This window comes from Homo sapiens, chromosome 7 (genome assembly GCF_000001405.40).
Source record: "Homo sapiens chromosome 7, GRCh38.p14 Primary Assembly".
In the NCBI taxonomy this organism is placed as follows: Eukaryota; Metazoa; Chordata; class Mammalia; order Primates; family Hominidae; genus Homo; species Homo sapiens.
Window position 1 is genome coordinate 143,110,985 of NC_000007.14, and position 18,584 is coordinate 143,129,568.

General features: G+C 39.9%; 1 annotated feature.

Annotated features, from left to right (window-relative positions):
• Positions 15,118–15,318: a silencer, noted in NCBI's record as "peak6806 fragment used in MPRA reporter construct". NCBI's record gives its function as "represses an SCP1 promoter by STARR-seq MPRAs in K562 erythroleukemia cells {active_cell/tissue: K562}" and the evidence as "EXISTENCE:reporter gene assay evidence [ECO:0000049][PMID:32103011]".

Below are 18,584 nucleotides of genomic sequence, written 5' to 3' on the forward strand. Positions count from 1 at the left end.
TGAGAGGGGGTGTCCATTCAGATGGTTGGGCCATGCTTAGAATTTTATTTTTGGTTTACAATTCCTTCTGAGACTCAAAGAAAGAATCAATTTTCTTGCCATTTCCAGCTAGAACCTATTCTGATTCCTTGACTTTTGGCCCCTTTCTCTATCTCCGAAGCCAGCAACATTGCATTCTCTCTGACTCTTCTGTTTTCAAATCTTTCCAGTTAATCAAAATAGAGAAAGACTCCGGTTTTAAAGATTCATGTGATATGATTGGGCCCACTTGTAAAATCCAAGATAATCTTCTCATCTCAAGATTTCCAACACTAGACACATCTGCAAAGTACCTTTTGCCAGGTAAGGTAACAGATTCACAGGCTCTGGAGGACTTGGACTTCTTTGGAGGAGCCACTATTCAGCCTACCACAGCTAGTAAAAAAAATAAAAATTCTTTAGTCTTACAAAGAATATCTTCAACCATATACACCAAGTACTAAGTTTAATATCGAATTATCAACAGCTTTCCCTTTACAGCCAGGAATACCATAGGATTTTCACTATCATTTTGTGTATTAAACATTGTCCTGGAGGGTGTAAATGATAAGATTGAAACTGCCTTTGCAAAAATTACAACAATTAGAAGATTATGGCAGTGAAGGGGATGTAATCTGGCCAAATTCCTTCTTGCCTTTGGTCTTCAAGTTGACCTTAATTATTCCTGAGCTTAGGCTAAGCTAACTTCGGAAGACATTTAGTTTATAGCTTAAATGATAATAGCCCTTCCCTAAAACTCAACCACTGTTGTAAAGCTAATGAGAGACCACCAGGCTAGGAGGATGGAGAGGCCTGAATTTTGCTAGGTGTAGACATAAATGATTGCCAGCCATTATTCCAGAAGTCACAAGATATGCAACTTCCCCAGTTACTTCTGCAGATAACATCACTATTGTAGAACCTAAGATTGGCCTTTTGAGATATATTTTCAGGTTTTTCGCATGTCCGATACCAATGGCTTCAGCTGGACCTCCCAAGCTCCTGTGGTCCCACCCAGAGGCGACTTAGCTTGTAGAAGGACCATCTTCCACACCCCTGTGATTGCAACCCCAATGAATCAACAACAAGCACTCACTGCCTAGCCACCCCACCCGTTCCCTCAAATTACCTTGGAAAAATCCTAGCCCCCAAATTCTCTGGTAGGCTGATTTGAGCAATAATAAAACTTGGTCTTCCCTTTCACTGGCTCTACATGTATAAAACTTTCTCTATTGCAATTCCTCTGCCTCGATAAACCAGCTATATGTGGACACCAGGCAAGAAGAGTCCATTGTATGGTTACACAGTAAATTAAGAAAAAATACAAAGTATAAGGGTAAGAATTTTTAAAAACTGTTATATTTGCAAGTAATATATTTGTGCATAGAGAAGATTCAAGAGCACTGTAAAGGAAAATTTAAAAATCTCAATGCATGCCTATATCAAAGTATCTCATGTACCCCATAAATATATATACTTATGATGTACCCACAAAAATTGAAAATAAAAAAAATCTCAGGAACCCCAAACTCCTTACATCAAAAGGAAAATTAAGCCTGGTGACTGAGTGGCACAACACAAACACATCATCCTTTTCCCAAATGAATAGCTTTTACTTCATAATCTTGTGTCAAAGCATTATCCATTAGCCACAACCCCTGCAGAAAGGCAAAAAGCCTCAGGTATCCCTGATGACTGTCTTCACAAATTGTTCTTTGCTGGCCTTAAGCTTTCAGGAGGTATATCCTGCCATAAAAAAAAGGGCATGTCAATTATAACTTTAGGTCTGCAATATAAGTCTAGCTCCTATAACTAAAGTCTGTTAAAATTCAGACTGATAATGTCAATTACAAGATAATCTTCCCAAGTACAGAACAAAGACAAGCTGAGATTGATCAATCCTCCACCTACCCTGAGAAATCTGCATAACTGATTTTCCTTTACTCCCTCTTTTTTTGGTAAAACATTCACCTTATCTTATGTAAAATGTAGATTTACAAGGCACTAACTAAAGTCTCACAAGGATGTAACCATTCACCTCACACCACCTACATGCCTTCCCCATTTCAAGGAAATGTATAAATGCTAAACCTCCTGAAAACCTCTTTGGAGAACACAAGAATTGGCAATCTGGCACTGGTGGTTTCATTTCTTGGTGTAAATTACATAGCACGCTTATAAAACTACAGCTGCTTTTTGTTGTTTGTAATTTGGACTTCAGAAAAACATTGTGGGCCAGGTATGGTGGTCCACATCTGTAATCCCAGCATTTTGGGAAGCCAAGGCAGGCAGATCCCTCGAGGCCAGGAGTTCAAGACCAGTAAAACTTCATCTCTACTAAAAATACAAAAAATAGCCCATTGATGCTAGGAAGAAACTGCATCAACAAACGAGCAAAATAACCAGCTAACATCATAATGAAAAGATCAAATTCACACATAACAATATTAACCTTAAATGTAAATGGGCTAAATGCCCCAATTAAGAGACACAGACTGGCAAACTGGATAAAGAGTCCAGACCCGTTAGTGGGCTGTATACGGGCGACCCATCTCATGTCCAAATGCACATATAGGCTCAAAATAAAGGGATGGAGGAAGATCTACCAAGCAAATGGAAAGCAAAAAAAAGCAGGGGTTACAATCCTAGTCTCTGATAAAACAGACTTTAAACCAACAAAGATCAAAAGAGACAAAGAAGGGAATTACAAAATGGTAAAAGGATCAATTCAACAAGAAGAGCTAACTATCCTAAATATATATGCACCCAATACAGGAGCACCCAGATTCATAAAGCAAGTCCTTAGAGACCTACAAAGACTTAGACTCCCACACAATAATAATGGGAGACTGTAACACCCCACTGTCAATATTAGACAGATCAACAAGACAGAAAGTTAACAAGGATATCCCGGACTTGAACTCAGCTCTGCACCAAGTGGACCTAATAGACATCTACAGAACTCTCCACCCCAAATCAACAGAAGATACATTCTTCTCAGAACCACATCACACTTATTCGAAAATTGACCACATAGTTGGAAGTAAAGCACTCCTCAGCAAATGTAAAAGAGCAGAAATCACAACAAATTGTCTCTCAGACCACAGTGCAATCAAATTAGAACTCAGGATTAAGAAACTCACTCAAAACCGCACAACTGCATGAAAACTGAACAACCTGCTCCTAAATGACTATTGGGTAAATAACAAAATGAAGGCAGAAACAAAGATGTTCTTTGAAACCAATGAGAACAAAGACACAAAGTATCAGAATCTCTGGGACACATTTACAGCAGTGTGTAGAGGGAAATTTATAGCACTGAATGCCACAAAAGAAAGCAGGAAAGATCTAAAATTGACACCCTAACATCACAGTTAAAAGAACTAGAGAAGCAAGAGCAAACAAATTCAAAAGCTAGCAGAAGACAAGAAATAACCAAGATCAGAGCAGAACTGAAGGAGATAGAGACTAAAAAATCCTTCAAAAAATCAATAAATCCAGGAGCTGGTTTTTTGAAAAGATCAACAAAATAGATAGACCACTAGCAAGACTAATAAAGAACAAAAGAGAGAAGAATCAAAATAGATGTAATAAAAAATGATAAAGGGGATATCACCACGGATCCCACAGAAATACAAACTACCATTAGAGAATACTATAAACACCTCTACACAAATAAACTAGAAAATCTAGAAGAAATGGATACATTCCTGGACACATACACCATCCCAAGACTAAACCAGAAAGAAATTGAATCTCTGAATAGACCAATAACAGGCTCTGAAATTGAGGCAATAATTAATAGCCTGCCAAACAAAAAAAGTCCAGGACCAGATGGATTTACAGCAGAATTTTACCTGAGGTACAAAGAGGAGCTGGTACCATTCCTTCTGAAACTATTCCAATCAATAGAAAAAGAGGGAATCCTCCCTAACTCATTTTATGAGGCCAGCATCATCCTGATACCAAAGCCTGGCAAAAACACAACAAAGAAAGAGAATTTTAGACAAATATCCGTGATGAACATCGATGTGAAAATCCTCAATAAAATACTGGCAAACCGAATCCAGCAGCACATCAGAAAGCTTATCGACACGGTCAAGTCAGCTTCATTCCTGGAATGCAAGGCTGGTTCAACATACACAAATCAATAAATGTAATCCATCACAGAAACAGAACCATTGACAAAAAGCACATGATTATCTCAATAGAGGCAGAAAAGGCCTTCAACAAAATACAACAACCCTTCATGCTAAAAACTCTCAATACACTAAGTATTGATGGACTGCATCTCAAAATAATAAGAGGTATTTGTGACAAATCCACAGCCAATATCATACTAAATGGGCAAAAACTGGAAGCATTCCCTTTGAAAACTGGCACAAGACAGAGATGCCCTCTCTCACGACTCCTATTCAACATAGTGTTGGAAGTTCTGGCCAGGGCAGTCAGGCAAGAGAAAGAAATAAAGGTATTTAATTAGGAAAAGAGGAAGTCAAATTGTCCCTGTTTGCAAATGACATGATTCTATATTTAGAAAACCCCATTGTCTCAGCCCAAAATCTCCTTAAGCTGATAAGCAACTTCAGCAAAGTCTCAGGATACAAAATCAATGTGCAAAAATCTCAAGTGTTCCTATACACCAATGATTGACAAACAGAGAGCCAATTCATGAGTGAACTCCCATTCACAATTGCTTCAAAGAGAATAAAATACCTAGGAATCCAACTTACAAGGGATGTGAAGGACCTCTTCAAGGAGAACTACAAACCACTGCTCAATGAAATAAAAAGGACACAAACAAATGGAAGAACATTCCATGCTCATGCAAAGGAAGAATCAATATCATCAAAATGGCCATACTGCCCAAGGTAATTTATAGATTCAATGCCATCCCCATCAAGCTACCAATGACTTTCTTCACAGAACTGGAAAAAAACTACTTTAAAGTTCATATGGAACCAAAAAAGAGCCCACATTGCCAAGACAATCCTAAGCAAAAAGAACAAAGCTGGAGGCATCATGCTACCTGACTTCAAAGTATACTACAAGGCTACAGTAACCAAAACAGCATGGTACTGGTACCAAAACAGAGATATAGACCAATGGAACAGAACAGAGGCCTCAGAAATAACACCACACATCATCTATAACCATCTGATCTTTGCCAAACCTGACAAAAACAAGCAATGAGGAAAGGATTCCCTATTTAATAAATGGTGCTCGGAAAACAGGCTAGTCATATGTAGAAAGCTGAAACTGGATCCCTTCCTTACACCTTATGCAAAAATTAATTCAAGATGGATTAAAGACTTAAATGTTAGACCTAAAACCATAAAAACCCTAGAAGAAAACCTAGGCAATACCATTCAGGACATAGGCACAGGCAAGGACTGCATGACTAAAACACCAAAACCAATGGCAACAAAAGCCAAAATAGGCAGATGGAATCTAAACTAAAGAGCTTCTGCACAGCAAAAGAAACTACCATCAGAGTGAATAGGAAACCCACAGAATGTGAGAAAATTTTTGCAGTCTACCCATCTGACAAAGGGCTAATATCCAGAATCTACAAAGAACTTAAACAAATTTACAAGAAAAAAACAACCACATCAAAAAGTGGGCAAAGGATACGAACAGACACTTCTCAAAAGAAGACATTTATGCAGCCAACAGACACATGAAAAAATGCTCATCATCACTGGTCACCAGAGAAATGCAAATCAAAACCACAATGGGATACCATCTCATGCCAGTTAGAACGGTGATCATTAAAAAGTCAGGAAACAACAGATGCTGGAGAGGATATGGAGAAATACGAAAGCTTTTACACTGTTGGTGGGAGTGTAAACTAGTTCAACCATTCTGGAAGACAGTGTGGCGATTCCTCAGGGATTTAGAGCTAGAAATACCATTTGACCCAGTGATCCCCTTACTGGGTATATACCCAAAGGATTGTAAATCATGCTACTATAAAGACACATGCACACGTAAGTTTATTGAGGCACTATTCACAATAGCAAAGACTTGGAACCAACCCAAATGTCCATCAATGATAGACTGGATTAAGAAAATGTGGCACATATACACTATGGAATACTATGCAGCCATAAAAAGGATGACTTCATGTCCTTTGCAGGGACATGGATGAAGCTGGAAACAATCATTCTGAGCAAACTATCACAAGGACAGAAAACCAAACACCGCATGTTCTCACTCTTAGGTGGGAATTGAACAATGAGAACACTTGGTCACAGGGTGGGGAACATCACACACCGGGGCCTGTCATGGGGTGGGTGGGGGAGGGATAGCACTGGGAGAAATACCTGATGTAAATGATGAGTTGATGGGTGCAGCAGGCCAGCATGGCACATGTATACCTATGTAACGAGTCTGCATGTTGTGCACATGTACCCTAGAACTTAAAGCATATTAAAAAAAATTTAAAAAGTAGCAGGCAACATGGTGTTGGCCAGGTAGAGAACCCACCTGCATAATAAAAGATTAGGGTTGGTGGGGGCAGCTTCTTCACATGCTATGCAAACAGCACACCTAGTCCTAGCCAGTTCTTTCTGTGCTATGCAAATGGCACACCTGGCCTGACCAATCTTTCACGCCCTATGTAAATCAGATACCGCCTCCTCAAGCTCATCTAAAAAATTTCCTACACTTCACTGCAGACTGGAAAACTTGCTCCGGACCCCCTCTCTCTTCAGGAGAGAGCTTTTCTCTTTCTTTTGCCTGTTAAGCCTCTGTTCTTAACCTCACTGCTTGTGTATCCACATCCTTGATTTCCTTGGTGTGAGGCAACAAATCTCAGGTATTACCCCAGATGAACGATGCTGCTTCACTGGGACTCAAATCATTTCATCCAAAGCTCATAGGTTAGGAGTTTTTCAAAGGCAGTTTGGGGGAAGGGGTCGGGGTGGCTAGGTTTGCTGCTAATTGGTTGGGCTGGAGATGAAATCATAGGCGTTAAAGCTGTACTCCTGCAGGCTGGATAGCTTGTAGGTGGGGCCACAGCAGTGGGATTGGTGGGTCCAGGTGGAGCCATGGGTGTTAGACATGCAAAAAAACCTGAAAGGATGTCTCAAAGGGTCAGTCTACAAAAGTGGTGTCATCTGCAGGAATAATTGGAGAAGTTGCCTATCTTATAACCTCAAGAATAGTGGCAAACAATCATTCATGTCTGAGTCTTAGCCAGACTCAGCCTCCTCTCCTTCCCCAAGCCTCATGGCCTCCCATTAGCTTTACAAAGCCTGTTAAGTTTTAGGCCTGCTATCATTTAAACTATAGTCTAAATGTCTTCCAAAAGTATTAGATTGGTTCAAAGCTAACTGCAGTTTTGCCATTAAAAGTAATGGCAAAAACTGCAATTACTTTTGCACCAAACTATAGCTTAGGGCGAGGCACAGTGGTTCATGCCTGTAATCCTAGCACTTTGGGAGGCTGAGGTGGGTGGATCACTTGAGGCCGGGAGTTTGAGATCAGCCTGGCCAACATGGGAAAACACCTAATCTACTAAAAATAAAAAAATTAGCCAGGCATTGTGGCGCACTCCTGTAATCCCAGCTACTTGGGTGACTGAGGCACGAAAACAACTTGAACCCTGGAGACAGAGGTTGCAATGAGCTGAGATAGTGCCACTGCACTCCAACCTGTGTGATGGAGCAAGACATTGTCTCAAAAAAAAAAAAAAGAAAAAGAAAAAGTTAGCTTAGCCCTATCGCCCAGGAATAAAGGAAACAGCAAGATGGGGCAGTGGGGTAGTTAGCTCAACTTACTGTTATATTACTCATTGATACAATTTTTGCAAAGGTGGTTTTAGTATGACTCTACACCTTTTGGGTCACCCATTTGTAATCCATTCTACTGAAGGAAGCCAAAATATTACCCTCTAAAACACTTAGGATTGTTGAGCTAAACACAGCTAAAAGGCAGGGAGATTCTCTGCCCTTCTTTTGTTTGCCTAAAGCGAGGACATAAATCCTCCCTTACTGGAGACAGCTGCTTATTAGCCCACTAATGGGCCAGGGGAATCTGTGAGCAGACTTTACCTCTATAAATTTGCCTTCCTATATTTGCCCACCTTTTGGCACTACCCCTATGGGCAGATTTTGTCTTCCTGCTTCATTAAATATCTCTTTAAATTTTTCATCTGAACTCTCTGTGTAGCCAGTCAACTGAGAAGCTGAGACCCTAGAGAATATGGCCAGAGTGATATGGGTTGTACACCCATTTGTAGCTAGCAAAACTTTTCTCTCTTTGAACTTTCTTTGGCATGAATCTGGAATCTTGTGAGAACTGTCCTGCATCTCTTTGGAGAAGGCTCGTTGATCAATGTATTGATTACATCATAACATTGGTTAAAGCTTATTGGTTTTGGTGAGTCACTTGCAAAGATACCTTTGGTTTAAAAGAGGGGGGAAATGGTACAAAAGCAGGAATATTGACTGTTCTGGCTGAAATATGATAAGAGACTTGAAGTTTTTTTTTTAAGATCTCTATAGTCAAAAGTCGATTTAATTAAAAGCTGATATTTAAGATACATATGCATATATACTTTTTAATTGGGCCTCTGTTCTCTATAAAAACTTGTCAGTTGACTAAATTTCTTTCTTCTTAACCCTTTTGTCAAGAAAAACAGTAAAATATTTGAAGAGATTTATTCTGAGCCCAATAAGAATGACCAATGACCCATGACACAGCTCTCAGGAGATCCTGAGAACATGTGCCCAAAGTGGTTGAACTACAACTTGGTTTTATATATTTTAGGGAGACATAAGACGTCAATCAATTAATGTAAGATGTATATTGGTTTAATCCAGAAAAATGGGACAATAGGAAGTGGGGGCCCCAGATCATAGGCAGATTCTAAGATTTTCTGATTGGCAATTGGTTGAAAGAGTTATTGTCTAAAGACCTGAAATCAATACAAAGAAATTTCTGTGTTAAGATAAGGGATTTTAGAGACCAAGGTTTTATCACACTGATGAAGCCTCCAGGTAGCGGGCCTCAGAGAGAATAGATTGTAAACGTTTCCTATCAGACTTAAAGATTCTATTAGTATTTTTTTTGACAGAGTCTCACTCTGTTGTCCAGGCTAGAGTGCAGTGGCGCAATCTCAGCTCACTGGAACCTCCACCTCCTGAGTTCAAGTGATTCTCCTGCCTCAGCTTCCTAAGTAGCTGGGACTACAGGCATGGGCCACCATACCCAGCTAATTTTTGTATTTTTAGTAGAGACAGGGTTTCACCATGTTGGCCATGCTCCTGACTTCATGTGATCCACCTGCCTCTGCCTTCCAAAGTGCTGGGATTACAGGAGCGAGCCACCACATCCAGCCTGCTCTATTAGTCTTAAGGTCTTTGTGTTGATGTTAACACTGGTCAGCTGCGAGGCATGTCCAGTGGCACCCCACTTCCCATCATGGCCTGAACTAATTTTTCAGATTAACTTTGGAATGTCCTTGGCAGAGGGGAGGGCCCATCAGTCAGTTAGGGGGCTTAGAATTTTATTTCTTTTTTATACCTTACTAACTGTATGCACTCCCTTAGTTTGCTTCTGTTTTGTTGACATGATTTGTGCCAAGAATGATGTAAAACTTCACTGGCCTTTTGAAAGCTTAAACTCTTTCTCTGTACTATGAAACATAAATTTCCTACCTTGTTTTGTAAATCAGTAAGGGCTTCAGCCTGTGAGACAGATAAACTTTAACTCGTTCCATTTACAAAGCCACAGTTTGATTCCAACTGTCTTTTTAAACTACTGAGTTTTGCCTGACTCATGGGTAAAATATTAAAATCTGTGAACCCTAAATAACTGAGACAGGTCTCAGTCAAATTAGAAAGTTTGTTTTGCCAAAGCTAAGAAAGCACCCATGACACAGCCTCAGGACATCCTGACAACATGTGCCCAAGGTGGTCAGGGTACAGCTTGCTTTATTTTAGGGAGATATGAGGCATCAATCAAATGTGTAAAATGTACATTGGTTCGTTCCAGTAAGGCAGGACAACTCAAAGTGGGGGTTTCCATGTTAGAAGTAGATAAAAGACAAAAGGCTGCATTATTTTAAGTACTTGATCAGTCTTCCACTGAATACACAATTTAATCTGTCTCAGTGAATCTGCATTTTTACATAAACAATAGGTCAGAGGAAGTAATTAGATATGCATCTGTCTCAGGCAAGCCTCAGAGGGACAATTTTGAGTTCTGTCTGTTCTTTGTCCACAAAGAATTTCCTTGTGGGAAAATTGTGAGGGAGGTATGTGGCTTCTTATCTCTGTAGCTATCTTATTTAGGGATAATAAAATGGGAGGCAGGTTTGCCCTAAGCAGTCCCCGGCTTGCCTTTTCCCTTTGGCTTAGTGATTTTGTGGTGCCAAGATTTATTTTCCTTTCACAAATCAAAACTATAAAATCTTTGTCTGTATTTTTATACTTGTGTAAATGTTTGTGTTTGTATATAGTATACAAGTGACAAAACTGACTTTTAAAAAGGCCCAAATGAACCTTTAAGTTTCTTGCCTTTAGGATACTTGCCTAACATATAGTAATATAAAAATAGTTAATAGAAAATTTAACTTGAGATGATGGCCAAATGTGTCCTATGTCTTATAAACTTTTCCAAACATAATTGTTAAGAGTGAATAAATTAAATAGATGTAAATGGGATGAGTTCATAAATGAACTATTAATACCTATTAAGTTTTATAATATGCTTACTTAAAAAGGTTGTGATGGTTAATTCTGAGTGTCAACTTGATAGGACTGAAAAATGCAAATTATTGATCCTGGGTGTGTCTTTGAGGGTGTTGCCAAAGGAGACTAACATTTGAGTCAGTGGGCTGGGAAAGGCAGACCCACCCTTAATCTGGGTGAGCACCATCAAAATCAGCTGCTAGAATATAAAGCAGACAGGAAAACGTAAAATGACAAGACTGGGACCAGGTGCAGTGGTTCACGCCTGTAACCCCAGCACTTTGGGAGGTCAAGGCAGGTGGAACACCTGAGGTCAGGAGTTCGAGACCAGCCTAGCCAACATGGTGAAACCTTGTCTCTACTAAAAATACCAAAATTAGCCAGATGTGGTGGCAGGCACCTGTAATCCCAGCTACTCAGGAGGCTGAGGCAGGAGAATCACTTGAACCCGGGAGGTGGAGATTGCTGTGAGCCGAGATCGCACCACTGCACTCCAGCCTGGGTGACAAGAGTGAGACTCCACCTCAAAAAAAAAGAAAACAAAACAAAACACTGCACTGGCCTAGCCTCCCAGCCTACATGTTTCTCCCAAGCTGGACCCTTCCTGCCCTCAAACATCAGACTCCATATTCTTCAGTTTTGGGACTCAGGCTGGCTTTCCTTGCTCCTCAGCTTCCAGACGGCCTATTGTGGGACCTTGTGATCCTGTGAGTTAATACTTAATAAACTCATGTATCCTATTAGTTCTGTCCCTCTAGAGAACCCTGACTAATACAAACATTTTTAAAGGTTTTTAAAATCTTTTTGTTAACTATACCCTCAAAATTTGCTATGCTAAATTAAAGGATGGATATTCATTGAATATCTAAATTATCTCTAAATAAGATACAATTCTAAGACATTAATGACTATGAGTTGAAGCTTAAATACTTTTGACTTCTTATTTCAGAGAAACAAAAGATATTTATATTTCTTAGTAAAAATGTCCTGTTTTACATTTTTATCGGGGGAACCAGCCCCCAATATTTCAACATAGGTCCTTTCTATTTTCCCTAACTGTCGGCCAGTCTGAGAAATAAAGAGAAAGAGTACAAAGGAGGAATTTTACAGCTGGGCCTCTGGGGGTGACCTCACATATCGGTAGGTCCATGATGTCCCCTGAGCCACAAAACCAGCAGGTTTTTATTAAGGACTTTAAAAGGGGAGGGGGTGTATGAACAGGGAGTAGGTCACAAAGATCACATGCTTTAAAGGGCAATAAAGATCACAAGGCAAAGGTCAAAGCAAAGATCACAAGGCAAAGGGCAAAATTAGAATTACTGGGCCGGGTGTGGTGGCACACGCCTGTAATCCTACCACTTTGGGAGGCCAAGGCAGGTGTATCACGAGGTCAGGAGATCAAGACCATCCTGGTTAACACAGTGAAACCCCGTCTCTACTAAAAATACAAAAAAAATTAGCCAGGCATGGTGGTGGGCGCCTGTAGTCCCAGCTACTCGGGAGGCTGAGGCAGGAGAATGGCGTGAACCCGGGAGGCGGAGCTTGCAGTGAGCCAAGATCACACCACTGCACTCCAGCCTGGGTGACAGAGCGAGACCATGTCTCAAAAAAAAAAAAAAAAAAAGAATTACTGAGGAGGGTCTACGTTCGGCTGTGCACGTATTGTCTTGATAAACATCTTAAACAACAAAAAACAGGGATCAAGAGCAGAGAAACAGTCTGACCTCAAATTTACCAGGGCAGGATCTTTTCCCCACCCTAATAAGCCTGAGGGTACTGCAGGAGACCAGGGCGTATTTCAGCCCTTATCCCAACCACATAAGACAGACACTCCCAGAGCAGCCGTTTATAGACCTCCCCCAGGAATGCATTCCTTCCCCATTGTATTAATTATTAATATTCCTTGCTGGGAAAAGAATTCAGCGATATCTCTCCTACTCGCACGTCCATTTATAGGCTCTCTGCAAGAAGAAAAATATGGCTCTATTCTGCCCGACCCTGCAGGCAGTCAGATCTTTGGTTGTCTTCCCTTGTTCCCTAAAATCACTGTTATCTGTTCGTTTTCAAGGTGCACTGATTTCATATTGTTCAAACACACATGTTTTACAATCAATTTGTACAACAGCGGTCCTGAGGTGACATACATTCTCAGCTTATGAAGATAACAGGATTAAGAGATTAAAGTAAAGACAGGCATAAGAAATTTTAAGAGTATTAATTTTGGGAACTGATAAATGTCCATGAAATCTTCACAGTTTATGTTCCTCTGCCGTGGCTCCAGCCAGTCCCTCTGTTTGGAGTCCCTGACTTCCCACAACATTTTTTTTTTTTTGAGATGGAGTCTAGCTCTGTCGCCCAGGCTGGAGTACAGTGGTGCAATCTCGACTCACTGCAAGCTCTGCCTCCTGGGTTCATGCCATTCTCCTGCCTCAGCATCCCGAGTAGCTGGGACTACAGGTGTCCGCCACAATGCCCGGCTAATTTTTTGTATTTTTAGTAGAGACGGGGTTTCACCATGTTAGCCAGGAGGGTCTTGATTTCCTGAACTCATGATCATCCTGCCTCAGCCTCCCAAAGTGCTGGGATTACAGGCACGAGCCACCGCGCCTGGCCCTGTTCTACATTTTTAAAGAATGTTCCATTAGAAAGCCTATGTTTCTAAATATTATAAAAATTCATATTCATAAACCGTTGGTATGTGACTGACACTTAAAAATTGCTTACTTCTTAGGTTTTCACTATGAATTAAGGTTACTAGGAGTTAAAATTCTAATTAATACATGGTAACTAGAATTAGGGATAAGAAGGATAACAATTCTATACACAGAATGTACAAAAAACACATAAGATTTTTTTTTGGTGAGGATGGTTATAAGATGGATATGAGGATATGTTTTTTGTTAAAGGAAAAGCGATTTTGCCTAGGTTAGAGGTTATTTAAAAGTTGTACTAAATTGAAGAAATAAAAGAAGAACAATGAGATAAAGTGAATGGATATAGGAATTCAGGAAAAGAAAGAGAATGGAAAAAATTATAAGAGGTTTAAAATGTTTATGAAAGTCATCTTCTGTGGTCAAAAGTGATTGAGATTACAGGCATAAGCCATCGTGCCTGGCCCAAGTGCTCTTGAATACAGGTTTCTGATAACTTTGGAGATCATACCATTGGACTAGGTAAAAAATACTTCCAGAACTCTCATAAAAACAACTGATGTATTTATGAAGATTGCTAGGCCAATATCGAGCAGAAAAAGAATTAATTCCATGGAACTGAACTAAGGAAGGACTGAAATAATTTTTACTTCTTTTTGCTTAAAACATTGTAAAATCTTTTTGTTTTGTTTTCCAAAGTCCTAAAAACTTTTTTTTCTTTTGAGCTCTTCATGGCTTATAGCAATAGGTAAAGTAAACTTTCGTGAGCAAATTGAGACATTTACCTTTCTCTCTACCTGATTTCTCCAGAATTTAGAAGCTATTCAAGAACATTATTATTTCATGGCAATATTGTTATTTTCATGAGTTCAATAAGAATCTGTTTTTCTTTGTAGCAGGACACAATTGGAGACACTGCCTATTCAAGGCTTTCACTGGAATGGCATATTTTCAGATACAACAAGGAGAATTTCTGAAACTAACTTTGGGAGAAACTTAGTTTATAGTTTAAAACACAGACAGCCCTTTCCCAAAGCAGACCTTCTTGCTGGGGGACAAGATTGCCTTTGTAGGACTAACATTAGCCACAAGATAAGAAATTATCTTGTGAGACTGATTTGAGTAATAATAAAACTCCAGTCTCCCATACAGCCTGCTCTGCATGAATTACTCTTTCTCTATTGCAAGTCCTGTCTTGATGAATTGGCACTTTGTCTAGGCAGCAGGCAAGGTGAACCCCTTGGGTGTTTACAAGGACAGCTTCAACCCATATGATTTCACCTCCAACCCAACCAATCATCAGCAAGCATCCATTACCTGGCCACTGCCACCCTTTCCCTAAACTGGCTTTGAAAAAATCCTCTTAACTATGAGCTTGGAGGAGATTGATTTGAGTACTACTTCCATGTCCCACGTGGTGTGGCCAGTCTCAGGTCTATTAAACTTTCTTTACTGCAATGCCATGGTCTTTCTTTGTGCAGCAGGCAGAAAGAACCTCTCAGGCAGTTACAATTGAAAAACAAGCAAAGGCTTGAATAGGCACCTCACAAAAGAGAATATATAATATCCAGATGACATATAAAAAGGCTAAATACCACTAATAATCACAAACATTCAAAGTAAATCACAACAAGCTCCACTACATATCCACCAGAAAAGCCAAGATTAAAAGTATTGACAATATTAAATATTGGGAAACTGTTGTGCAGTGTATAAAATGGCACCACAACTTTGGAAAACATTTTGATATTTTTGTGAAAATGAATAAAATTTAAAATCTGTTAGAACACTGCAAACTCCTTAAACTTTGAGAGAGCTGCTACTGTGATCTGAGTCATGTAGCATGTTTTGCAATTCTGCTTCTTAGATTACAGCTTAACCGTCTTCCTCATTGTTCTGGTTCTGTAAATGACTAAGAAAGACCAGAGAACAGACTTCCTCCTTCCAATCACTGATATTTATTCTAGATTAACTGCTTCCTCTATTGTTCTGTACCTAACTCAGACCAGATTGCATCCTCAAAACAGACCCCCTGAGGGTTACATCTTCAGTGTGGAATGTTAGAGATATCTTTCCAGAAAGAAAAAAAACACCTCAACTAATCAGATCATTGTAACTATGCATTAAGCCTTCCATAGAAAGGTGTTGAAATTCTGCTAAACTTCCCTGAACTTTATCTGTATAAATGATCTGAAACTTTTATACTTTGGAACACTGACTTCCATTCTTTGGAATCTGTGCTTGCTGGTGGGTACATCCTCAAGCACTGTGCTTGAATAAACTCTCTTTCAACTACACTCTGATGTTTTTGATTATTTTAGGATGACATTCTCTATAAAAAACACAGATACACATACCACATATGTAAAGGAACACAGCAACTTACCAAATCTGTTTCCCTTTCCTCCTAAGCATACAGGTATGCTAAATTTCCCAATCTCTCCTGCAGTTTGATTTGGCTACAGGACTAAGCTGTGGCAACGGGGACAAAGAATGAATGACATTCTATGATTTGGAAGCCACTTCCAAATCTTGCCCATTAAAAAAAAAATAAAACACTCCATAATTCTCCATTCTCTCTTTCACCTCTTAAAAGCTGAATACTAATACCTGAAGAAAACAAAACTATTTCACCCAAAAATATACTCCTTTGACATACTTTGAGATGGCTGTTAGAGGATCTGCAAACAGAAGCAGTGCTGCAAAGCTGTCTTTTGTGGGGAGATTTGTGTCTCTAGAGAATCTGCATTGATGCAACAGGCTTTTCCTGAGGTCCTCCCTTGCAGATCTAGGAAAGATTAACTGAGAGTCTGATACCTTTAAAGGTCTGAAAGAAACATTTACCTATTCTCTCTGAGGGCTACTATCTGTGAGATTTCACCTGCATAGTGAGGACTAAGCTCTGTTTTTGTGTGTGTGTATTTGTTTGTTTTAATCTTGGCCAAATTCCTATCTAAGGGGTCTGGAGACCATAAATGCTCATCAGATGGGTTTTATTTTAACCCTGTATATGGTGACTTACTTTCCAATCTGACTCTGGCATAACAAGGAAGAAAATCAAAATGTTTTACCCCCAAATACATTTCCTTGCCATGCCTTGAAATTGCCCTGCAAAGTCTCTTGTGGGAAAAATCCACATTCTATAGAGAATCCCCTTACTCCTTTCTTTTCCTTCCTTCCTTTCCAGATCCAGGAGATAATCACCTATGAGCCAGGCACCCTTTTAAGTCCGATAAGAAACATTTTACCACCTGCTATCTCTGAAGTCTGCTATCTGAGAGCTTCTTCTGCACAGTAAAACTTGATCTCCACAATCCTTTATCTTAACCTGAACATTTTCTTTCTATTGACCCCAGGTCTTCAGATAAACTCAACTAATTGTCAAACAGAAAATGTTTAAATTTACCTATAGCCTAGACCCCTCCCCCCGCCCCTGCCCTTTGAGTTGTCCCACCTTTCTGAACCAAACCAATGTCTTTCTTAAATGTATTTGATGGATGTCTCATGCCTCACTTAAAATATATAAACCAAGCTGTACCCCCACCTCCTTGGGCACATGTTCTCAGGACCTCCTGAGGGCTGTGTCACAGGCCATGATCACTCATATATGGCTTAGAATAAATCTCCTAAAATATTTTACAGAGTTTAACTCTTTTGGTCGACAATAGCAAGACCACCTTTGCTAGCCAGGCTTCCTCTTTTCCCCTCCCATAACCTGTAGCACCACTGTAACCTGATTTACTACCATAACCTGGTTTTGGCCATGCTCCAAGACCTCATTCTTTTGTAACCTCAAGATGGTACATGAGCTTCTGTACTCCCACTGAGGAGTTGGAGGTCATCATTCTCTCCCATGCACGTTAATAAACTTGTATGCCATTTCTCCTATTAATCTACTTTTTGTCAGTTTATTTCTCAGTGAAACTTCAGAAGGCAGAAAAAAAGTTTTCCCTTGGCCCCTACATCACCAGGGTGACCTTAGAAATGACACTAAAGGCCAGGCATTGTGGCTCACGCCTGTAATCCCAGCCCTTTGGGAGGCCAAGGGGGGGTGGATCACCTGAGGTCAGGAGTTTGAGACCAGCCTGGACAACATGGTGAAACCCCGTCTCTACTAAAAATAAAAATAATTAGCTGGGTGTGGTGGCAGGCACCTGTAATCCCAGTTACTCAGGAGGCTGAGACAGGAGAATCACTTGAACTTAAGAGGTGGAGGTTGCGGTGAGCCGAGATTGCGCCACTGCACTCCAGCCTGAGTGACAAGAGTGCAACTCCACCAAAAAAAAAAAAAAAAAAAAAGGAAGAAAGAAAGAAATGACACTAAAGATGACAGAGTTTCTAAGAAAAGAGTCACACTCCAGCTTCTCTCACCTCTGAGAGATTTTGCTTGGATATAACCTCCTCTAAGAAACAACTCATTACATCTTACATCTTCAGTATGCATTAGATGCCCTTCTACAAGTCTTGTGCCAATTATGCTTTTATTAAGTAAGAGGAAATATAGAGTAGTCACTCTAAGTGCCAACTCCGGATTCACTTCTATCTGGGTTCCAATGGTTTGGCTTAGTCATATGGCCAAGCCAAACTTCAATACCTTTGTTATTTGTTGGCTCTGTGACTTGAACAACTTATTAAAACCTCTGTGAGTTTCCTTTTCTCAACTTTAAACTGTTGCTACATCAATAAATAGACTAGACAAGTGTTTAAGGACATAAACTCTGGTATCAGACTACTTGATTTTGAACCCCTAACTCTGCCAGTTACTAACTTTGCAACTTGTTCTCGCCAGTAGGCAGTGCAGTGGTTAAAGGGTCATGTTCCAGGGCCAGACTGCCAGCGTGGAAATTCTGGCCCCACCCAAAGGTGTATTCGCCATTAAGTTAATGGCATGAAGCCTCAGGGCTTCCTACTTATGGGTGCCTCCTCCAAGATCCTGTACCTGTAGTTTACATTTGTAAGTTTGGATTCTATTTCAAAAAGAGGTTCTCAGATACTGTAAATCAAAACTCAGATTCCACAAAACCTGCTTGCAAAGTTGACTCTGCCATATACTGGCTATATGGTCTGGGTTAGATATTTATCTCCTGGGTCTCTGTTTCTCCTCTTGTAAAATGGAATAAAAATGGCAACCACCTTCACAGGGTTGTAATAAAGATTGAGCTAATATATGTTAAAATGTTTAGAGCAGTGTAATGCACACAGCATATGCTTCATG